The 24,558-nt window shown below is 33.9% G+C and overlaps 1 annotated feature.

Annotated features, from left to right (window-relative positions):
• Positions 9,288-9,337: an enhancer, noted in NCBI's record as "active region_7804". NCBI's record gives its function as "activates an Ori minimal core promoter by ATAC-STARR-seq in GM12878 lymphoblastoid cells {active_cell/tissue: GM12878}" and the evidence as "EXISTENCE:reporter gene assay evidence [ECO:0000049][PMID:35858748]".

A 24,558-nucleotide genomic window follows, 5' to 3' on the forward strand; every position in this document is an offset into this window, starting at 1 on the left:
ATATTATCTACATATAAATATTCCTCAAATGAAACTATAATACAATTCCAAACAAAATATTCAACATGGTTTTTGGAACTTGCCAAGCAGATTATAAAATTATTGGATAATATACAGGTCTAAGAATAACAAAGAAAATCTTGAAGAAAGAAGAATAACAAGGAAGAGTCTTTCTTTATCATATATGCAGATGTTATGAAGGAATAGTAATTGACAGTGTTTTATTAGTGTAGGATAGAAAAATTACACTCATAGAACAGAAAAGAATGCTCATAAACAAAGTGTATTTATGAACAATTGACATGTGACAGAGGTGGCCCTTTAGATCAAACAGGTATTTTGTATTTTTAAAATAAATATTGCTGAAACGGTTGTTTATCTAAAGTCAATCTAGTTCAATTAAAGACCCAAATGTGAAAAGAAAAACTACAAAGCTGACAGAAGATTATAATAGAAATTACTTCATAATCTTGTGGCAGGGAAAGAGAGAAAGATTTTTTAAGCCTGATGCAAAAGGCACTAATAAAGAAAAATATATCTAAGCCAAATTTGACAACACTTAAAATCCAGGTCTTCCATTATTCAAAAGATACCACAAAGAGAATGAAAAGACATATTTGCAAAATAAAAAAAATCAATGAAAGGCCTCTGCTTTTAGCAAAAATAAGAAAAAAAGAACATAAGTTAGGCTACAATGGTTTTCTTATATGGTTGAGGTCAGTGATTCCTGAATGAAGGGAAAAAATGCTGTGGGGCTTACAATTTCCTCGTTGTTTGCCCAGATTTTCTGGGATGCAGTGTAGAGATGGTGAATTCAAACAAAGTGTGGTGGATTCCTTGAGTTGAGAACATGAAGCTAGGTGTATGGGAGGCCAAATGCACTTGTATTTCATTACTGTACAACAAATTACCGCAAACTCAGTGGCTAAGATAATACCTATTTATTATATCACTGTTTCTGTGGGTCAGAAATTCGGGCATAGCTTATCTTGGTCCTTGCTCAAGGTCTTATACATGACAGCAATCAAGGTGTCAGCAGGGCTGCATTCTCATCCAGAGGCTCACCTAGAGAAAGATCTGCTTCTGGACTCATTCAGGTTTTTTGCATAATTCATCTCCCTGTGGAAAATTATCAGCTATTGGCTAGAGTCTATCCTCAGGTCCTAAAGTCAGCCCGAATTTCCTGGCAGGTGGCACTCTGTATAGGCAGTTAACAACACGGCTGTTAGCTTCCTCAAGGCCAGCAAGCAGGAGAATCTCTCCTGTCTGCCCAACTGGAGTTGTATATAACATAACTTAATCCAGGGAGTGAAATTCCGTTGTTTTTAGCATATTCTATTGGTTAGAAGCATGTCACAGGGTCTGCCAGTACCCTAGAGGAGGGGATTATACAAACATGTAACTCGTTAGGAATCACTTTGGAATGCGTCTGTCACAACAAGGTAGTTAGAATTTTCCAGAAAAAGTACAAGGAAGAGAAAGCTGTACAGAGAGAAGAGAGTTGTATAGAATGACAGCTCTGGGGGTCAAAAATGGGTTCTTTAGCTAGTTATTGGTCAGCACTTGCATGAGAAGATGCTACTTGGGACCAAGGGAAAAAGTACCTAAAAGGAAAAGACAGTCCAATCCCCAGAACTAAGACAGGATAAGCCATAGTATACCCATAAACCAGAAAAAACTCCTGATGAATGAAGTACTGGGGAGAGTGCTCAGAGGGCCCTGCCTCAGTAGAGAGAAAATTAGTCCTAACTTAAAGGCTGTTCTGATAGTCTTTAATAAATCTTAAAATAAAATATTTAAAAGATCAACTATCTTCAATAACTATCACAGAACAAAGCCCCAAAACATTTGAAGGAATTGCAAAGAAAAAAATCTAGCTCCTAACATGATAAAATTCACTGTCTGGCATCCAATAAAAAATTACCAAGAATTCAAAGAAACATGAAAATATAATACACAATGAGGAGAAAAATGAATCAATAGAAACAGACCCAGAAATATTCAATGCCCATTTCTAGTAAAAAGATTAAATACATTTTGGAATACTAAGTAGCAATGGTTTTTCAAAGTGCTGTCATGTATCCCTGACAGTCCTTGGGGCACTTTCAGAGGGTCTGTAGAGTCAAAATTATTTCGATAATAATAAGACACATTTTGCTTTTTACGTTGCATTAACATTTGCAATGATTATGCAAAGTGATAGCAAATGAAGCCTTCGTGTCCTAACACAAATCCCAGCAGTGGCATCAAACTGTACTACTGCTCATTGTGTTCTTCACTGCAGTCACAGGAGAAAAAAAAGTTTCAATTAAGAATCTCCTCAAATGAGCAGTAACAATATTAAATGTCATTGAATCTCACTCCATGAATACATGTTTTTAATATTCTGTGGAAAGAGAAGAGAGTTTATAAAGCATTTCTGCCAGATACTAAAATATGATGGTTTTTACCAGGGCACAACACCTTTTTTTTTTTTTTAACGTGCAAATGAATCAGCTGCTTTTTCCATTTCTACTTGAAAAAAATAACTGATAAGCAAATTATGGATATTCTAAGTATTTCATACTTGTCTTAAAAATAACAAAATAACCCCATCACTTCAAGAAAAACAACTTCCCCTATTTATTGCTAATGATAAAATTTGAACCCATAATGTTATAATTTCAAGGAACTTTTACCCACCAGTTGGAGTTTGACTGCTTTCTATTATTTAAAGGCTTTTTCTGATGAGATTCCTGATGATACTGACAAATCAATTTTTTGATATTATTTAATGAAATGTATTGACATTTAAAAGATCTTCATAATTCTGATAACTTGATTTTCCAAATGACCAATGAATAATGTTTCAGAATGATAGATAGGTAAAGATTGATTCAAAGTTGCAGATAGACAAGTGGATTTTAAACTAACAGAATATAAAGTTCACTGATATAGTTTCAAGTTTACATTGCAACTTAACTTTGAAAAACAACCATGTTTTGAGTTTTGTGCAGTGTCAAAAATAAGGTATACACTTTATTAAGATTCTGATGTCTTCTACTTAAGTATCTGTGTGATGCTGGTTTTTATTTATATTTTTTGTATACTTCTTTGTACCTATTGCAACAGATTAAATGGAGAAGAAAATATTAGAATCCAGCTATCTCTTTTTGTCAGATATTAAAGAGATGAAAATATATGAAACAATGCTACTCTTGTCACTGAATTTTTCAAATGGCAATAATTTTTTAAAAAATTATGTGATTTGCATTGCCATGTAATAAGATTTTTGTAATAAGCTTACATAAATTATTATAATAAACATAAAATTTACAAAATATTTTTTATTTCTAATTTAATAAATGTTTATAGATACAACACATAAACCAATACTTTTTGTGGTTCTCAATAATTTTTAGAGTGTGAAAAGAACATGCAGTTAACAAGTCTGATTACTCCTGTTATACAGTAGTAAAAATAAATGAGCTACAAGCTACACACAACAATCCACATGCATCTCATAATCACTATGATTAAGAAGTAAGTTGCTTATAAATACAAACCATATATTTCCCTTATCTATCAGAGATATGGCCTATGCAGTTTAGAAGTCATGTATAATTGGTACAATAAAAAATAATTCTAAGGATATTATATTCACAAAATCAGGGTATTGGTTATCTCCAAGAAGAGAAGGAGTAGGTAATTAGGGAGGAATACACATGGAAATCAGGCAGTGTTCCATCACTTTATCACTTTGTAATTATGCCTAAAATTGCTCACATATATCTTTTGCACTGTTCTAGAGGTATATTTCACAATTAAAAAGGGTAACAAATAAATCAGTTATGGAAAATATTTAAATTGAAAGAAAATAAACATAGTACAGCAAATGTCAGGTAGATAAAAAAAAAATTACCCATAAGGAAAAACAATCTTTTTTAACCTAACAAAAAAAGCATAAATTTTACATTTGAATGATAAACTTATAATTCAGTACTGCACAAATCTAAATTTTATTTTCTTCTTCATCTAGTTTATTGCACAGCATATCATTTTATTTACATTCTCCTATATTCTCAACATCCTGGATCCTTCAATATTTCATTTCCTCTGTATGACAATACTTTAGTCCTGAACAATCCCCAACTGTCCAAGTTCTTACAAGTTCTTATGCCTTCACTTAGTGTATTAGTCCATTTTCACGCTGCTGATAAAGACATACCTGAAACTGGGAGCAAAAAGAGATTTAATTGGACTTACAATTCCACAGGGCTGGGAAGGCCTCAGAATCATGGCAGAAGACAAAAGGCAGTTCTTACACGGCGGTGGCAAGAGAAACATGAGGAAGAAGCAAAAGCGGAAACCCCTGATAAACCTGTCAGATCTTTTGAGACTTATTCACCATAATGAGAATAGCACAGGAAGGACCAGACCCCATGATTCAATTACCTCCGGCTAGGTCCCTCCCACAATACGTGGAAATTCTGAGAGTACAATTCAACATGAGATTTGGGTGGAGACATAGACAAACCATATCACTTAGACAATCAAGAAATTCTGGAGAAATTACCACTGATGCTAATGATATCTTGACTCCTATAATATTTACCAACTTCAAATGCACTTGAATATCCTAACCATTATTATATTTCTATTTGCAACTTATTCTCACCCTCCCACAAGAGCTAGTTCAAAGCTTCTCTTCATTCCTTAATCTCCACCCACCTGAAGCCTTCTACAATCAACTGATGGCATTCCTATTAATAGTAATGATGATAATAAAAAAGAAATTGTAAAGGAACAACCTCATCTTCCAGATATCAAACAACTTGCATCTATTTAAACACATTACATTGTTGTTTTGTATTACAGTGCGAAGTTATTCCTCTTTCATTTAAGACCATTTTCTCCACATGGTTTTGTGGGATCTCCTCTGCATTTGTACCAATAGTTGTTTAATAATAAATATAAAGGCAAAATAATCCCAAATGCTGACACTTTACAAATACATGTACTGAACTAATCTTTGTAATAATGTGTAAATATTTTGAAATATTCAGTTGGAAACATATAAATATATACTTCATACATTTCAAAACTGAGGCTGTTTAGTCACTACAGAGCAAAAAAAAAAAAAAAAAAAAAGAACCCAGTAAAGATATACATGGCATTTTTTATTGTTAAGATCCAGTAGTATACAGGCAGCACACAAACATAAAGCAATACATGGCTTGGAAACATAATGAGAAATAAGATATTTTCAATGATGATATATCTTAATTATGTGAATTACAATTATACTTAGATAAAATTAAATAAAATGGTTACATAACTCATCTTTAATATATATCTTGACTTTTACTTTAATGTAACAAAAAGGATAAATATGTTCTTTACTGACATGGATATTAGTGAATTCAGGAATAAAAGATATATAGTAAAATATTAATAAACATTCAGGATAATGTTAAAATTGTCACTCCATTGATACTGAAGCTAAGATTATTTTTAAAGTACTTTAAAATTAGTATTTTAACAACAAATCTATTATTTAGTTTTCAGCTATATAACTATGACTGGAAACATATGACATTCTACTACTTTATCTTATCAGCACTTTAAATGATACATTATATATTAAACAAAAATCCCATTCTATTTATTTAAGATATAAAAGAAGCTAAACCATTTTATAATTGTCTAATTGTTCTTTCCTGATAATCTTGAGGCCAAAAAGGCTTAAAATTTTATTTCATTTCTTTCACATCAAGTAATTTCAAACTCCATTATTACAAAATGGACTGCTTACTTTTGCTTTTACTGATAATGTCTTTGAGATTTAAGATGATTTTTCTGTATAATCTCTACTAGTTAACAGAGCATCTTTAAAGCTAAATTACAAAACAAAGTCATAAAACATCCTGCTTTGTATTATAAAGGAGGGCATTGGATTACCTCTCAGATATTCATTTTTGATATTTTTCTATGGAGCATGAAAACTGCATCTAAACACTTATTGATTACTATTATTATATTCAATTTGCCCATAGACTCAAGTTTATTCATGCATGTTTAATTGACTTGCCACCCTGAAGTAGAAAGAACTTGTTTTAGGACTTAGGAATCAATACGAAAATTAAAAATGAATTATAGAAAATTACAAAGCAAATAACAACAGTCAATACTTTCATCAATGGGAATTTGCCACTGTTTACTTCTTGGCATATTTGCTTTGAGTGCTTCCTTTCTGTTTCTCTCTCTGTTTCTCTTTTTCATACTTTCTCACTGTCTATTTTTTTAAAGTTTTTTTCTTAATTTCAATTTTTATTTTAGATATAGGGGGTACACATGCAGGTTTGTAACATGGGTATACTGCTCCTGAGTGGTGAGCCTAGTACCCAGTAGGTAGTTTCTTAATCCACGCTCCCCTTTCTCTCACCTCCCTCTAGTAGTCTGCAGTGTCTAGTGTTCTCATGTTTATGTCCATGAACGCTTAATGTGTAGCTCCCACTTAAGTGAGGACATGCATTATTTGGTTTTCTGCTCCTGCGTTAACTCACTTAGGATTATGACATCCAGCTCCAACCATGTTGCTGCAAAGGACATGATTTTATTCTTTTGTATGGCTGCATAGTATTCCATGGTATATATGTACCACATTTTCTTTATCCAATCAACCATTAATAGGCACCTAGGTGAATTCCATGTATTTGCTCTTAGGTATAGCGCAGTGATGAACATATGAATGCATGTGTCTTTTTGGTGTAATAATCTATTTTTCTTTGGATATATGCGCAGTAATGGGATTGCTGGGTTGAATGGTTGCCTTGTTTCAAGTTCTTTTAGAAATCTCCAAACTGCTTTCCACTGTGACTGAACTAATTTACCTTCCCATAAACAGTATATAAGCATTCCCTTTTCTTTTCAGCCATGCCAGCATCTGTTGTTTTTTGAATTTTTAATAATACACATTCTGACTGGTGTGAGATGGTACCTAATTGTGATTATAATTTTCATTCCTCTGATGATTAGAGATAATGAGCATTTGTTCAAATGTTTGTTGGACACTTGTATGTCTTCTGAGAAGTGTCTATTTTTGTGTTTCATCCACTTTTTAATGGGGTTGTTTGTTTTTGCTATTGATTTGTTTAAATTCCTTATACATTCTTGTTATTAGACCTTTGTCAGATGCATAGTTTGTTAATATTTTCTCTCATTCTGTCCATTTACTCTGTTGATAGTTTCCTTTGCTGTGCAAAAACTCTTTAGATTAATCAGGCCCCACTTATTAATTTCTGTTTTTGTTGCAATTGCTTTTGAGGACTTAGGCCAAATCTTTGCCAAGGCCAATGTTGCGAAGGGTATTTCTTAGGTTTTCTTCTAGGATTTTTATAGTTTAAGGTTTTACATTTAAGTCTTTAATCCATTTTTACATAATTTTTGCATATAGTGAAAAAAGAGACTGTCCAGTTTCATTCTTCTGCATATGACTAGCCAGTTATCCCAGCACTATTTATTGAAGAGGGAGTCCTTTCCTGGTTGCTTGTGTCATGTTTAGCACTCTTATAAGGCTGGTCTGGTGGTAACAAATTCCCTTAGTGTTTGCTTGTGTGAGAAGGATTTTATTTATCTTTCACGGCTTAGGAACTTAGTTTGGAGAGAGATGAAATTGATGGTTGGAATTTATTTTGAGGATGTCAAAATTAGGCCCCAAATTTCTTCTGGCTCATAAAGTTTCTGCTGAGATGCCTGCTGCTAGCCTGATGGGGCCCCCTTTATAACTGACCTGGCCTTTTTCTCTAACCTGCCTTTAAGAATTTTTTTTTTTTTTTTTTTTTTTTGCAATAACCTTGGTGAATCTGATGACTATGTGCCCTGGAGATGGTCATCTTGTATAGTATCTCACAGGAGTTATTTGTATTTCTTGAATTTGCATGCCCACCTCTCTAGCAAGATCAAATAATTTTTCATAGACTATATCCTCGAATATGTTCTTCAAGTTGCTTACTCTCTCCCCTTTCTATATCAGGAATGCCAATGATTCATAGATTTTGTCTCTTTACATAATCTCATATTTATCAACGGTTTGTTTATTTTTTAAAATTATTTTTTTCTTTATTTTTGTCTGACTGAGTTGATTCAAAGAATCAGTCATTGAGCTCTGAGATTCTTTCCTCAGCTTGGTCTATTGTCCTGTTAATTCTTCCAACTGCGTTACGAAATTATTATAGAAAATTCAATTCCAGAAGTTCAGTCTGATTCTTTCTTAAAACAGTTCTTTTGACTATCAGCTCTTGGATCATTTTACTGGATTCCTTGGATTCCATGGATTGGGTTTCAAGTTTCTCCTGAATCTCAATGAGCTACCTTGTCATCCAGATTCTGCATTCTATTTTTTGTCATTTCAGCCATTTCAATGGGTTAGAAACCATTGTTCTGGGACTAGTGTGTTTGTTTGGAGGTAAGAAGACACTAGCTTTTGAATTGCCAGAATTCTTGCACTGATTTTTCTCATCTGAGAGGGCTTTTGTTTTATTAACTGTGACACAAAATGAGTATAATCAGCTCGCTTCATTTCTGGGTGCTTTCAGAGGTCTAAGGCTCTGTACAGGATCTTTATTCGTGAACAAATTTTTGCCTTAGGTTTCAGGCACTGTATACTGGCAAAATATTTTTGGTGTTGTAATTTGGTCTGGTATCCAGTAAATGGCACTTAAGAGTGATGGCTGGCAGATAGGCTCTTATTCAGCCATGTGGCTCTTTTGTATTTCTGTAGTATGCTCTGTGGTGTGAGGCAGAGAGGGAGAATTCCCTCATTAGGTCTGTTCCAGGGCCTTGGAGGAACCCCTGCCCATCACTGGCACCATGCCTACATTTCCTTTGTTAGGTGCTTCATGACATGGGGTACCCTCAGACAGAGGCCACAGCTAGCGGACAGGGCATACTCTTTTTAAACTGGTTCTGCAGAAGGAGGCATGGCCCTCTCCCCTGTCAGTTCATGAACCCAGGCGTCTCATCCCATTCAGTGTTCTGGGTGTAGGAGCCCCTCCCCTCCTTGGGTGCTGCCCAAGCCAGAGAGTCTTTCCTGGCTATGGAGTTACCCCATGCACTGTCTGGGTGTTTCCTGGAGGAACACAGGGCTGTGTTCCCCAGCAGAGTTCAGGCAGGAGAGCGGCTGCTGTGCTGGAAGCCCGAGGTGGCAGGTCCCACCTGGCTAGTAGCCGTGGGGTTGGGAGGAATTGCCCAGTCTACTTTCTGGATTTTTTCCAGGGGAACACAGAACTGTGCCCATTGGCAGAGTTCAGGCAGTAGAGTGGCTGCTGCACTGGAAGCAGGAGAAGAGCCTTGTTGGGCAGGGAGGAGTGGAGCAGTCTGACTGCTCCTCCAGCACTGTGACTGCCTCTATTGGTATTATGGCAGCTGGCCCTGGGCTGCCGAGGAGTCTAAGGCCTGTGGGGCCCCCTGTGGTCTTGAGTGATACCTCTTCAGAAACTCTGGGCAGATCTCTGTATTGGTCTAGAGGCCTGCTGGGGTTGTGAAAGAGGATTCTTTCATTCTCAGTATTGCACAGGTCCCTGTGGGAAATGTGGATTCCCTGGGGGCTCTTACTCTCTCACCCTTTCCACATGTTGGGGAGCTTCTCCTAGCTCTGTACCAGTCCTGAGTGGGCACCTGCCCTGCTTTACTCTTCTCTGTCACCCATGTATTCTCTTGCCCCCTTGATGTGTCCTGATGTGGTTTATTAAACGATTCACCATAAAACTTAGTATTTGCTCAGCACTTTGTTTCCTTTCCATGACAGCAGTCCACATGAGCTGCTTTTAGTTAACCATTTCGAATCTGTCTCCCCTCCTTTTTTTTCTTTTTTTTGACAGAGTCTCACTCTGTCTCCCAGGCTGGAGTGCAGTGGCGTGATCTAGGCTCACTGCAACCTCTGCCTCCCGGGTTCAAGCGATTCTCATGCCTCAGCCTCCGAGCAGCTGGGTTTACAGGCTTGTGCCACCATGCCCAGCTATTTTTTGTATTTTTAATAGAGACAGAGGTTTCACTGTGTTGGTCATGCTGGTCTTGAACACCTGACTTCAAGTGATCCGCTTGCCTCAGCTTCCCAATGTGCTGAGATTACAGGCATGAGCCACCACACCCAAGTCTCTTTCATTTCTTAATACAAATTATTGCATTGTTGTAAACTTGATATATGCTTATTATTTTTAGTTTTTCCACATTTATTGAGGTATAATTAACAAGGGAAATTGATTATATTTATGGTGTACAATGTGATATCTTGATATACCTAAACACTGTGAAATGATTACCACGATAGAGCTAATTAACATATCCATCACTTCAAATAGATAACTTATTTTTCTGTGTGTGGTGAGAATATTTAAGATTTACTCTCTAAGCAAATTTTGAGTATACAATTGCTATGGTCTGAATGAATCCCCCCAAATTTATGTGTTGAAACATAATCGCCAATGTGCTAGTATTAAGAAGTGGGACATTTAGCAGGTGGTTAAGTCATGAGGATGGAGCCTCATGAATGGAATTAGTGATCTTATAAATGTTCAGGAAGGAACTAGCATCATCCCCTTTCACCCTTCTGTACCATCTTCCACAGGATTTTTCCCTCAGAGGGACATAGCAACAAGGCACCATCTTGGGGCAGGCAGCAGCCCTCATCAGATACTAACTGTACGGGCACCTTGATCTTGGACTTTCTTGCCTCCAGATAGTGGGAAATAAATTTCTGTTGTTTTTTAAATTACCCAGTCTGTAGTAATTTGTTACAGTAACACAAAGACAACAATACAGTGTTATTAACTGTAGTCATCGTGCTTCACATTACTCCAGAATTTATCCATCCTGCATAACTGAACCTCTGTAGACTTAGACCAACATCCCCTCATTTTCTCTACCCCCATCCTTTGGCAACCATCACTTGAGTGTGACTCCACTTCTGAGTTTGACTTTTTCAGACTCCAAATGCAAGTAAGATCATGCAGTGTTTGTGTTTTTATGCATGGCTTAGCATAACATCCTCAAGTTCACTCACGTTGTCACAAATGACAGTATTTCCTTCTTTATAAAGGCTAAATAATATTCATGTGTGTGTGGGTGTGTGTGTGTCTGTGTGTATGTGTGTAAAGAGAGAGAAAGCAAGAGAGAGAAAGAACATTTTTTGAAATCCAGTAATCCTTTGATAGACACAGGTTGATTCTGAATCTTGACTATTGTAAATAATGCTGCAATAGATGTGAGAGTGCTGGCATCTCTTTGACATACTGATTTGATTTCCTTTATATACCCCCAAGTCAGATTGTTGGATAAGGTAGTTCTATTTTTAATTTTTTGAGAACTCTCCGTGCTGCTTTTCATAATGGCTCTATCAATTTACCTCCCCACCAACAGTGTACAAGGATTCCCTTTCCTCCATATCCTTGCCTACATTTGTTATCGTTTGTCTTTTTGATAATAGCCATTCTAAAATGTGTGAGGTCATGTCTCATTGTGGTTTTGATTTACATTCCCTTGATGATTAGTGATGTTGAGCACCTTTTCATATACCTGCTGGTCATTTTTGTGTCTTCTTTTAAAAAATGTGTATACATGTTTATCTTAAAGAAAATAAACAGTAAATTTGTTGTAAATTTAAACACAACTTTAGTGTTTAAAAGACATGTTTTAAAACATCATCCAAATTCTATCAGTCAGAAAAATTAATTTTTCTCATTAGGTGATGTAATTAACATGCTTTTTTCATTTATAGAGGGAAAGGTATTAATATGCACCACAAAACTATATCACATTACAGATATAATTTCAAAACACATTAATATATAAATAACAGAAGAAAAACTAAGGTGGAATGAAAAGAATTACAAAATTTCAATCATGACAGAAAATATTAATTCTTTAAAATATTCCTCCAAGTTTCTAAAAAATTTGAAACAAACTGATTAGGATAAAGTAATTCTGTTTTCAAAATTACATATTTTAAGAAGACATATAAATAACCAATGAGCATACGAAAAGATGCTCACTATTATTAATCATTAACCACAATTACATACTATCTCATACTTACCAGAATAGCTAATAAAACAAAAAAAAATACTGACCATAATTAGTAAATGAAGAAATTAGAACTTTCATACATTGCTGGTGGAAATATAAAATAGTGTAACTACTGAGAAAAAACTGTTTTGTGGTTCCTTGGTTCCTCAAACAAACATAGAATTACCATATCACCCAGAAATTTCACTTCTAGTTATACATATATGGAAAATAATTGAAAACAGATATTCAAGCAAATATTTGTACATAAATTCTAATAGCAGCATTATTCATAAGAGCCCCAATGTAGAAACAACTCAAACATTCATCTACTAATTAATGGATAAATAAAATGTATATCTATATTATCTGGCAATAAAAATAAATGAATTACTAATTAGTGTTACAACATGGATTGACCTTCAAACATCATACTAAGCAATAGAAGTCAGACAGAAAAACTACATATCTTATTATTACATTTATATGAAATATCAAGAATAAACAAATCTATAAAGACAGAAAGTAGACAGTGGTTGCCGAGGGTTGGTGTGGGGGAATGAGGTCAGGCCATTAATGGGTATAGGCTTTGGGGGCTCTCTCTCTCTCTCTCTAAAATATTGAGAATTCTTAATAAAATTTTGCTGAGATATAATGTGTGACTTCACATTCAAGTTTCAGAGATTTTTTTCTCCTCTTCATGAACATTTTTGTGTTAAATTGTTGAATAAGCCTACTTCCATTTGTTGATTTCTCTATTTCACTTATATCAGTTATCTATGTTGGATTATCTTTATCCATCATGCATATGTATTAGCTTCTTTCCAATTACTTTTATAACTTCCTATTTTTAAGCTGTACTCACAGTGATAATCTAGAGGCACTCTTCCATGTATGTATTATGGTTTTCAGTGTTTTCCATTCCTTGCTGCTTCTTATATTACTATATTTACTAATTGTGCAATAATCTTAGTTGGGTCTGCTCTTTTTTACTTTTATTGAAGCTGCCTTTTTTATTTTCTTAATAAGCTCACACACAAAACCTATATTCTTTTGTGTTCTATAGGGTGAAATAATTTTGAGAAAATTTCTTCTGTTACTTTAAATAAATTCTTCAAATTTAGTACTTTGCCTTTTGATATTATGGTATATATCTCATGTGTTTGCTGTGTTGAATTTGCGTAACTACTTACTTTTTCTAGTTTTCTTGTCCATAATGAAAGATTCTGTTGAGAATTTATTCTCATGTGATATAGGAATATTTGAGATTATTTATGCCATATCTGAGAAGGGTTTCTTTATCCTCAGAGCAGTATTTGTGCCCACCCACTTTTCTATTGTCTGATGGATTGGTGCGGGTAGCAGAAGACGGAGAGTTCAGCTGAGATCTTGAGTATTCCCAGTAGAGTACTTATTCTGTGTTCTCATAGACATACTCCACTACTCTTCAGTGAACCATATTGGGGATTTATTCTATCTGCATGTGAGGACTGATCCAGTCCTTCTGTTATTTCCCTAATTCGGTATAAAACCTTGCTATTTTTACTTCTGTCTGAAAGCAAGCTACATGGTTATCTTTCTCATTACATCTATTTCTCCCTGGTAGATGTGTTTACCTCTTTTTTTTAGTCTGATAACCACCTAGTTTACTTTTCTATAGAATCTAGGTTATTAGCTATTATTTTTACCAACTTATCAGTATCCCTTAGAGGAATGGCTTGTCAGCCCATCAGGAAGCTAGCTGTGCTGACCTTTTCTTCAGAATATATTTTTTTGAAGTTATGTCAAGTTTTTGTGTTTTTATTAGATAATCTCTTTTTCATTTAGTTGGTTTCTGTAAGCAACTTTTTGTAGTTGGAAATTATTACTTAAGTTGCAATTTTGAGGAAAATTTTTCTGTAAACAATAGCAGAAATAGTTCTCTTCAAATGAATAAATATGAAACATCTATTTTAACAAGAATTATGATATATAATATGTAGTACAACAAAAACACAAGCACAAACAAAAACACACTTAGCCTCTTGAAGCTAACCATGTATCAGGAAATGAGTAAAATAAGGACCCATAGCTGTCAAATAAAATGATGACAAGAAACAGACTGCTGTAGGCATTTAGTTCAGTAATATGAGGAAATCACCAAAAGCCTTAGGGAGGAGAAGGCAGTCAAAATAGCTCTATACAATTATGTAGCATTTCCATAGGGTGGTTTAAAAGAAGGTTGCATTCTCAACAGGGAAAAAAAATGACATGAATAAATTCAGGGAAGTTGGAAAATAGAACAGCACATATAAAAATCTAAGTTTTTGGAACATGGTGAAAAAAATTGGAGATACAAATGAAAAGCTATGATCAGCAATTTACTTCTGTTCCACAAGTATCTACTAAGCACCTCATAGTTGGTCAACGTTGTTCTAGGTACTTCTTGAAGGAGAAGTCATGTTCTTTCTTCTAAGATATATAGAACTCATTGATTGAAACATAAACTGTTTTCCAAAAAATGAAGTAAATAAACTGATACGGTAATGCCACAAGTTCTATAAGATCTTAAAGGATGGGCCCTTAGCTTCAATAGAGGTGGGATGACAGGATTCAAAGAACACTTTCTAGAGGGTATAGTGCCTGAACTGAGTTTTAAAAGGTGAATAGGAAGTTTATCCAGCAAAATACAGGAAAGATAAGAGTCAGGGATAATGCCAGATAGAGGAAACTGCATGGACAATGAGGCATGAAATAGATGTGAGGAACTAACTACTAGATTAATCAAACCATATGATAACGGGTCCATGTGATATATATAACCATATGATAACAGGACAGGAAATGGGAATAAATAACACTCCAGAGGTTGGCATGAATGATTGGTAGAGAACATTCTATGTCATGTTAAGAAACATAGACATGACCCTATAGAAAAATAAGTTATGAAAGGGTACTAAGCAAATGAAATTTCAGCCAGTTCAGTCTAGAGGCTACATGAAAGATGGTTTTGAGGAAGTGCAAAGTTGGAGGTTAGAAACCAGTTAAGAAACCAGCGCAGAGCTCATAAGTGCCTAAGCAAGGTCAGTGAAGAAGAGGAGTGAGATTTTAAAACTTTCATAGCAGGTGAAAAAAAAGTTCAAGGAGAAATTATTATGGAACTCAAACTATACATTTAGATGAGTAAAACAAAATTCCTGAGTTCTAGAAACTCACAGCTTGAGTTTGGAGGAATACTAAAAAAGCAATCACAATACAAGTGTGGAGGGAATGTAGAACGCTTGATTATGTATTTTAAAGTCATGTATGATTAATTTAGAAAACCACTAGAAGGAACCTGGATTTTTACAAGCCATGTGGCCTCACTGAAAGTGTGTGAGCAGAGAACCAACACGGGTGGATTTGTTTTAGAAATGCAATTCTAGGGCCCCAAAAGAGGAAGGACAGAAGGGGAAGAGAACTGAAGGACCAGTTAAGAGAACCTTAGTTTAAGTAAAAGATAATATTGTCTTGGACTACAATGGCAGAGGGAAAGAAGGTAGAGAGAAAGTAAGATATTTAGAAAATAAAATAGACTGAACTTGGTGACTAATTTAAAGTGGGATGTGAGCAGAAAGGAATTAAGAATATCTACAAGATCTTTATTTGTGAAAGTGGGTGTATGATGATTCTATTGACTAAGACAAAAAATATAGGACAAATGTCAGCTGTGAGGGGAAAGAGCAAAAATTGCTTGGGACATTTTGAGCTTGAAACCTCTTTCAGAAATAGAAAAATGATTCACATATTCAACTTGAAATTCCTAATTTACAATTCCTTAAATAAATAAATCATAAATTATTTTTTCACTCCTTGTTTCACAAAAATTTTGCCCTGACTAGAATTTCTCCTAAGTCTCTTTTATCATTGTCACATTTAATATGGTCTTCCAATTCTCTGTGTATGTTCTGCTTTAACCAGTTTTCAGTTTTCATTTAAATAAAAGTGAATTGAAATATATATGACATAAAAGAATAAAATGTAAAAGCAATTTGATCTTAATATATGGTCACTATATCAAAGTTTTTTAGAAGATACAATAATGACCACTTTTTAATTTTATTGGACATTGTTAAGGAAATATAAAAATGGCAAGTGTTGTTGAAAGCATTTAGCTAGTTACAGTAACAACTACTACTTCTGATGAAATAATATCATCTCATAGTCAACAAAGAAAGTCAGTATACAATGATACCTGGAGGAAGAGATAGAAATTGTAAATTTAAGAAATGCAGACATTTTTATCTACCACAGATAAAGATAAATGGTGACTGATTAATCAAAGTGTTACAGAAAGTAATACCCTACTTGAATAATTATATTTAATATTATGATAAAACTTTCAACAGTCCATACAAGTCAACATATATTCCTGAGAAACTATTTTTTTCATGCCACCATTAATCATTTTTTCAAATTTTCACTTTTAGAATATTAACTTAACAGTATAAAAGCATAATGGGCCTTGAGAAAACTAAGAACTCAGAGTGAACATTTAAACTAGTAAAAATATACTGATGGGCAAAGGATTATGAGGCATATTTGCAAAGTATGACCCCAGATGTCGCAAAATATGACCTCAAAGTGGTTGCTGGTTTTATACAGATTTTTGTTATATTTAAAATTATGTAAAGTTATTCAGGCAACAACAAAAACATAAAATGCTAATCTGAGAGTAACACCAGTTTTAGTAAAGAGATTTAGTCTAATAATAAGCGAGCCATTTTGTGTGTGGATAAAGTTATCGAAGAGGCAGTCTACTCACTAAGCTTAACATTTCTTCATTAGGAAGAAAACTGAAAGAGTTGGGCCATACTTATGAGCCCTGTTGGGACATTCCATTTCTTTTCCTTCTTTTTCTATCCCTATTTGGAAGAAAAGCTCAAGGGATGAATCTAACAAAACATACACCAAATAAGGTCATCCTCCCAGGGCCTTGTTAGGAAAAGCAGCAGCATTCACATGTAAAGTTGGATGCCAAAGTTTTAAGGTTATAGCTGAATAAATCAACGAGGCTCATGCTGTTCAAGGGCCTTACAGTAAAGATGAAAAATTTGTAGGAGAAAATTCTAATTATCTAGAGGACTTGGGCAACAAAGTGAAACAAATATAAGATGTAGGGAATTTTAAAATAGAAAAAAAAGGAGTTTTATTGTACAAGTCATAAAAATATAAACCTAATATTAAGATGAGATGAGGTGTAGGGAAAGGAAAGAATAAACAGCTATATTTTACTTTCAGAAATACATCCTTTCTTATTAACTAGATTCTCCCCCTTGGCGCCCCCTGCCTCCAACTTGTACTATTACAAAGAAGGTATAATCTCATGGAAAACCAATGTAAGGGATTAAATGAACATCTTTTAATGAGTAAAAGAGAAACATGATGCCAAGCCTGTTGCATGGTCTATGTTTTGACAACGGGTTTTACAGATCTTTCAAACCTTGTGTAATTATCATTTGTTACAGAGTTAAGCTAAAGTACTATCTAAGCCAGTGGGTATATACATGGATGTTTGATATAACTCAAGATGAAGAATTCATGAAGTTTAAGACACCAGGCACTATAAAGTAAATTTTTAGTACTAATTTTGGAAACATTCAATAATATTAACATTATTAATATTAGTATACATTATATTTTCACAATGGATATTGAATAATTAACTGGCCAAATTTATTCTTTATTCAACAACAAAAATAGTAATTAAACATTAAGCTAGCAATGACATCACCTTAGACTATTTTGCAATTTACCATTGCTTTTATGCAATTTATTGCTGTATTAATTAAATTTAGTAAGTTTGTTAAATAAAATATATCTTTGTGCCAAATGAAAGTTTTGGGGTCAAGTGATTAAAAGCTTTACTATATTTGTTTAGGTAGCCACATATGGAACACATAGTGAAGACTGGGATCCTCATACAGGAATATATATCTACTAGCTGTCTAGAGATTCTCTTCTGCAAGGGATTGATTTGTATTTGCACTTACTTGCAGAAGAATGAAAATATACCCAGTTATCTAGATCCGTACCTTTCTCCAAGCAGTTCTTTTCAGGTATTTAGATGCTTAGTAGGCATCCCTTATTTCCCAGAAATACAAACATTTAACCACTAAGTTGGAAAGAAGAAAAATGAGAGTTCTAGGATTCCCAGTGGCAGCAACATCATACACCTAATCTAAGACTGTGTTCAGGGTAGGGTTGCTCAGTTAAATTTGAATTTCACATAAACAACAAGCACTACTTTTTTGTACATATCTATGTCTCTCTCTCTATATATATATATACATATATACATAAGGACATATATATGTATATATAGACACATACACATATATATATATATAGAGAGAGAGACATAGATATGTACAAAAAAGTAGTGCTTGTTGTTAATATGAAATTCAAATTTAACTGAGCAACCCTACCCTGAACCCAGTCTTAGATGAGTTGTGTGATGTTGCTGCCACTGGGACATATATATATACACACACACATATATATATGTGTGTGTATATATATATATGAAATACTTTTTGTAATGTTTTAATTCACAGAGAGGGAGAACCATTAGCTCTTAAAATATCAGGAAGAGACAGAAATCATACTGCATGTATTTATCTTAGTGGTTTTAGTGTTATATTAAGTGTTATATTAAAATTGAAACCTTACAGTAAAGCTCTCATGAATCACTTCATTGTTCAAGCAGAAGGTAGAAGAAATAAATGGTAGAAAGTAGAAGAAGGAAATGGCAAAAAGGGTAAAACTTCTTCAAACAGAGGATTTTTTCCCCTAATTTGAATCACTAAACAGTAATTGGCATTAAATGTTATAAAAATTGGCATTAAATATTATACAATTTGAATATTTAATTTGAGACTGAGTCTAAATTTACTTATACTCCTTGGATGTCAAGATAAGTCAAAATAATTATAAATAAAACATAATTCGGTAATATTATACACATACTTATTGTAAGTATTTGAGATTATAAAGCACTAGGAATGCCATACAAATTAAATTAGGTATTTTAGTTTTTAAAAACAGACTTCATTGTTTTAGAGCAGTCTTAGATTCACAGAAAAAATTGAGAAGCAACTACAGAGAGCTCCTATATACTCCACCCCCCTCCCACATACACAGCCTCCCTCATTATCAACTTACTGCATCAGAACAGCACACTTGTGACAACTGATTAATCTACATTGACACATGATTATCATCCGAAGTCCATAGTTTGCTTTGGGGTTCATTCTTGGTGTTGCACATTTTATTGGTTTTATAAATGTATTCACCATTATAGTATCATACAGAATACTTTCACTGCCCTAAAAATCCTAGGTTCCACATATTCATCCTCTGTCTCCTCAACCACTGGCAACCACTGATCTTTTTACTATCTCTATATTTTTCCTTTTCCAGAATGTCACATACACTGTAGTTGGAATAATATGGTATCTAGCCTTTTCAGGTTGGCTATATACTTTTTCATTTGTTATTAGACACTTTACGTTCCTCCATGACTTTTCATGACTTGATAGTCCATTTCTTTTTAGCTCTGAATAAGATGCCATTGTCTAAATGTACCATTGCTTATACATTCACCTACTTATCAATTCCTTTTATTCATGGATCATGCCTTTGATGTTGTATCTGAAGAGTCATCACGAACTCAAGGACATGTAGATTTTCCCCCTTGTTATCTTATAAGTCTTTCATAATTTGCACTTTACTTTTAGGTCTATGATTCACTTTGAGTTAATTTTTGTGCAAAATGTAAAGTCTGTGTGTAATTTCATTTTTTTTGGCATGTGGGTGTCCAGTTGTTGTAGTATCATTTATTGAGAAGACTACATTTGCTCCACTATGTTGCCTTTGCTCCTTTGTCATGTATATTTTTCTTCTATATATTTCTATGTGGAAAATTTTGTATCTCAGAGGCTATATAGACCTTTTAATTATCTGCATTGAATATTTGTTTGCTGTTGAAAATTCCCCTCCTTGGTGAGGTCTCAGACATTAACTCAGAAACCTTCCATCCCTTGTGGTCAAAAGGAGGAAGCCCAAGAGCTCCAGGGTTGAGAGACACTTGTAAACAAAATCTGACTTTGTCTTCACTTACCTTCCTGTCTATGCTTTCCCTTTGCTTTAGGATGTACAGACTCTTTCTTTTCATGACATCTCAACTGCAAGATTAAACATCTAATCCATTTGGATTATTTCATTTACAGATGCTATTAGGGACATTTAATAGTCATCTTTCTGGAAATGGAAATCTCTCAGAGTTTATCTTTCTGGTATCACAATATAGAATTATCTAATTTTTATTTTGTTTCTTATTGGTCTTTGCACCCACCTCATGTCGTCAGGTTAGCAACTTTGTCTATTTTATGCTCACAATATTTCCAGAAAGTAGACAAGTATTTGGTACTTAGTAAGTATAGAATATACTTTATTGAATGATTGAATATATAATTCAATTAACTTGTTTTTCACTTTATAAATGTTTCTCCTACTGATAAAAAATTCATTAGAGTGATTTTTATTGCTACATAAAATGTATACTGGAATAGTGTCATCCTTTGTCATATTGAAAAACAATTACATTGTTCTTCATTTTTTACTGTTCTAAATGTTGCTGAGATTAAAATTATGGTTTATAATGAGTTATTTATATTTTGTTAGGTCTTCAGATATTTTCTCATAGGTACAATTATCAGGTCAAAATACTTGAAATCATTTTAAAGCTCTTTATATGTATTGTAAAATTGCATTCCAGAACTAATTACAACTCCCACAAACTGTGTGTGTGTGACAGATATAATAGTATCTGTTTCATCATTTCTCACAAGCATTTTAAACTTTGCTGTATAAATCTCACATTATATGTGTTAATAGACTTTTCCTTTACTGGGGAGCAGGGGGTCTAGAGATGCAGATGAGAAAAATATACCCCAGAATTTGAAATAGAGGAAGCATGCATAATCTTATTATATTCCACACATGTAACAAGCAGTTATTTTACAGCATTAGCTATTTTAGGCATTGTCAAAGACATGTTTTATTACAAGAAGAAATACAGAATAAAAGACACTGATGATAATATACCAATTAATAATGCTTAATATTTGTTGAAAAATTTTCATGTTCTAAGTGCATTTTATTTATTTTCAAATTGAAAACTCCACTTTTAAAAAATATTGGGATCAGAGCCACTTCTTTCCTACTTCTGACATTTTCTGACTTGTGGAGGGACATCTATTTCTGTCATTCTGCTTTCTCTTGCCTCTTACTCTCTTGTCACCAGGGAGGATAGAGTGACTTTCTTGTTTGGTAAAGTTGGGAATGCTTGGATTGAATGGTTCTGCTTTCTCAGGAATGAGGTCCTAGCATGCAGTACATGATCTACTGTGCTCATTGCCACATGCTTTATAAGATCAGGCATGCTTGGTGAATGACTCTGTCTACTGCAGGAGGTTCATGTAAGGAGCTTCACTCATTTGCTCATAGATATAAGTCACAATAATGAATATATTATCAATAATAAGGGAGATATTTTTGTCCTCATATTATAACTTTTTTTCTCTGCTGATTGAGGGTTTAGGTAGAAAATGTGTGTTACTATTGGACTTTCCTCATGACACCAATTTTAGATTTGTTTTATAATTTTTAAAAATCTAGCTTGTTGGGTTTGGTACTTGAGAGACTAGGTATTTGGTGAAGTCAAAGTTTGTAGCTAGGTTCTTCCTAATTGCAAAGCTTATGCTTATAGTCAGTTCACCATATACATTGTAAAAAAATATGATTTAATGAGCAAGTTAGACTTGCAGATGAGATAAGTAAATGGAATGAATGATGACTGTCTTAGTAGCACAGAGTCATAAATGTTTTCATACTTTTTAGAATAAAAATCTTGTTCAGTCTGGAATCATTGGAGTTAAAATACATGCATATTTTAAATAATTACAATTTTTATATTCATTAAGTACCTATCACCAAGTAAAGGAGGGGGCCAGAGTATATAGGAGCTCTCTGTAGTTGCTTCTCATATATATATGTATGTATGTATGTATGTATATATATATATATATATATATACACACACACACACATATATGTATGAGACATGTGTATATATATAATCTCATATATATATACACATATGTATGAGATATGTACATATATAATCTCATACATATATCTCATATATATGTGTGTGTGTGTATATATATATATATATATAGAGAGAGAGAGAGAGAGAGAGAGAGAGAGAATGAGAGAGACAGAGTCTCACTCTGTCACCCAGGCTGGAGTGCTGTGGCGAGCTCAGCTCACTGCAGCCACCTCCTGGGCTCAAGCAATTCTCATGCTTCAGCCACCCAAGTAGCTGGGATTACAGGCATGCACCACCACGTCCTGCTAATTTTTGTATTTTTAGTAGAGACAGGGTTTTACCATGTTGCCCACACTGGTCTCAAACTCCTGCCTCAAGTGATCTGCCCGCATCGGCCTCCCAAAGTGCTGGGATTACAGACATGAGCCACCATGCTTGGCCTCTATTATATATATATTTTTTAATGCAGATTTTTAATTGTTAACCTCTAAAGAAGCTTCTATTATACAGGACAGACTGATTATGTCTACAGCAATGAGACAACACTGGATAAATTCTTAAATACCTAAGAATTTGTTGGTTTGGTTTGATCAGAGAGCCAGTTCTCTCAGAGTGAAAAAAAAAATGCCTTGGGAAAATTACATTATTCAGGACATTGGGAAATGACTTCATCTTAATGCTTAATGTGAATGTGCTTATTTTTCATGGAAATATTTACTCCAAATAGCTCTATAATAGCTACTTACCTATTTAATTTTGCATATAGATATAGAAGAGAGGATTTTCCTGTTTTTTTCAACTCAAAAATAAATGTAAGTCTGTGACAGTCCTAGACTTAATCTGAACACAATTTTATTTCTACTTTTAAAAATGTCTCCCTTTGTTTAGGCACACTTCTTTGATCATTCACAGGAGGCCTTCTTTGGAAGATACATTGTGCAAGGTCCAATATGTTTGTTTTTAAAGCCTTGGCCAATACAATATTGACATTAGAACATGTAGTTTGAAATTTCACACATTTCAAATTTTCTTTTTAGTTACTATCTTTCCTATTCTTAATTCCTTAATGTTTTCTCAATTACTTAATTAAAATTTAGATCATAAATCAGCATGCAAAATTTCCAAACCAATGTTTTGTTTTACTTAATTTATTTTTAACAGCTTTATTGAATTATAATTGATACACACAAGCACATGTTAGTGTACACAATTTGTGTTAGTGTACACAATTTGATGAGTTTGGACTTATGCACATACTCATAATACTATCACCGTGATCCAGGTACAGGTGGACATCATCTTTGACACATTTCTGATAATTCTGTTATACAAATATTACATGTGATTGAACAACACGTTCATTATTAGATGTAGTTTTATACCCTCTGCTGAAGAGCTTTAGTACTTAAATGCCACGTGCATCCCATAATGTTACAAAAACATAAAGTCATTTTTGCAGCTTAGTATAACTTTACGAAGCAGGCTGGTGTGGTGGAAATCATGTGAGCTTTGTAGTCCAAGACAGCTAGGTCCACGTTCCACACTTATTAGATGTATGATTTTGGAAGAAATGCTTAACTTTGTTAATCTTCAATTTTGCTACTCAGAGTAGTGATGATTGTACCTACTTTGCAAGACTGTTGAGAGGATTTTAGATACTCTTAAATATCTGGCATTTAGTTATTGCATAGTAAATCAAAGCTCTCTGTATTCTAATAATTAGCTTTCTCTAATTCTTTTAATAGAATTATAAGATAACATAAACATGACTTTCAAAGGCCTTGAAATGTCATAGACTCAGGACCTCTTGGCAGGACCATGCCTCTGGCAAGAGGAAGTGACAGAAGATCTCCTTAGTACCTCACTTCATTAATCTAAGTCCTCTACTGGTACATGACTTTATTTATCTCCAGGGTGCTGAAGTTTTTCTCTAAAAGAACTGATGTTTGCATCATTTAGATAAATGCCTTGAGGTTCCTTATGCTAATTAATTCCTTTGTGCTTTCTTTTTACTAACAATATTAGACAGTTTTCTAACTGACAATGATTTATGCTTCTCAGTTTTTCAGATTTCCTGCTGTTGGCAATCATACATCCCAAGGCACTTGCATGTAAGGTTCTCCAATTTCAGCAAATATGTCCAGACAAAAGGTGTATTCTTACAAATGGAGATAGATAGACTCAGACCAAGGAAAGGATTTTTTGTTTTCTTTTAGATACATTGAAGTACTACAATTGTATGTTCTCCAACAAAAATTTATAAAGAAAGTAAATTACCTTCCTATGATGTATTTGAAACTTCTCTATCGGTATAAAACTTTGCACTTTATTTGTAGTAACCTGGATACAATTCTTTCTTCAGAATATCTAAAATGTCAACTAGA

Source organism: Homo sapiens, chromosome 13 (assembly GCF_000001405.40).
Source record: "Homo sapiens chromosome 13, GRCh38.p14 Primary Assembly".
NCBI classification, from domain to species: domain Eukaryota; kingdom Metazoa; phylum Chordata; class Mammalia; order Primates; family Hominidae; genus Homo; species Homo sapiens.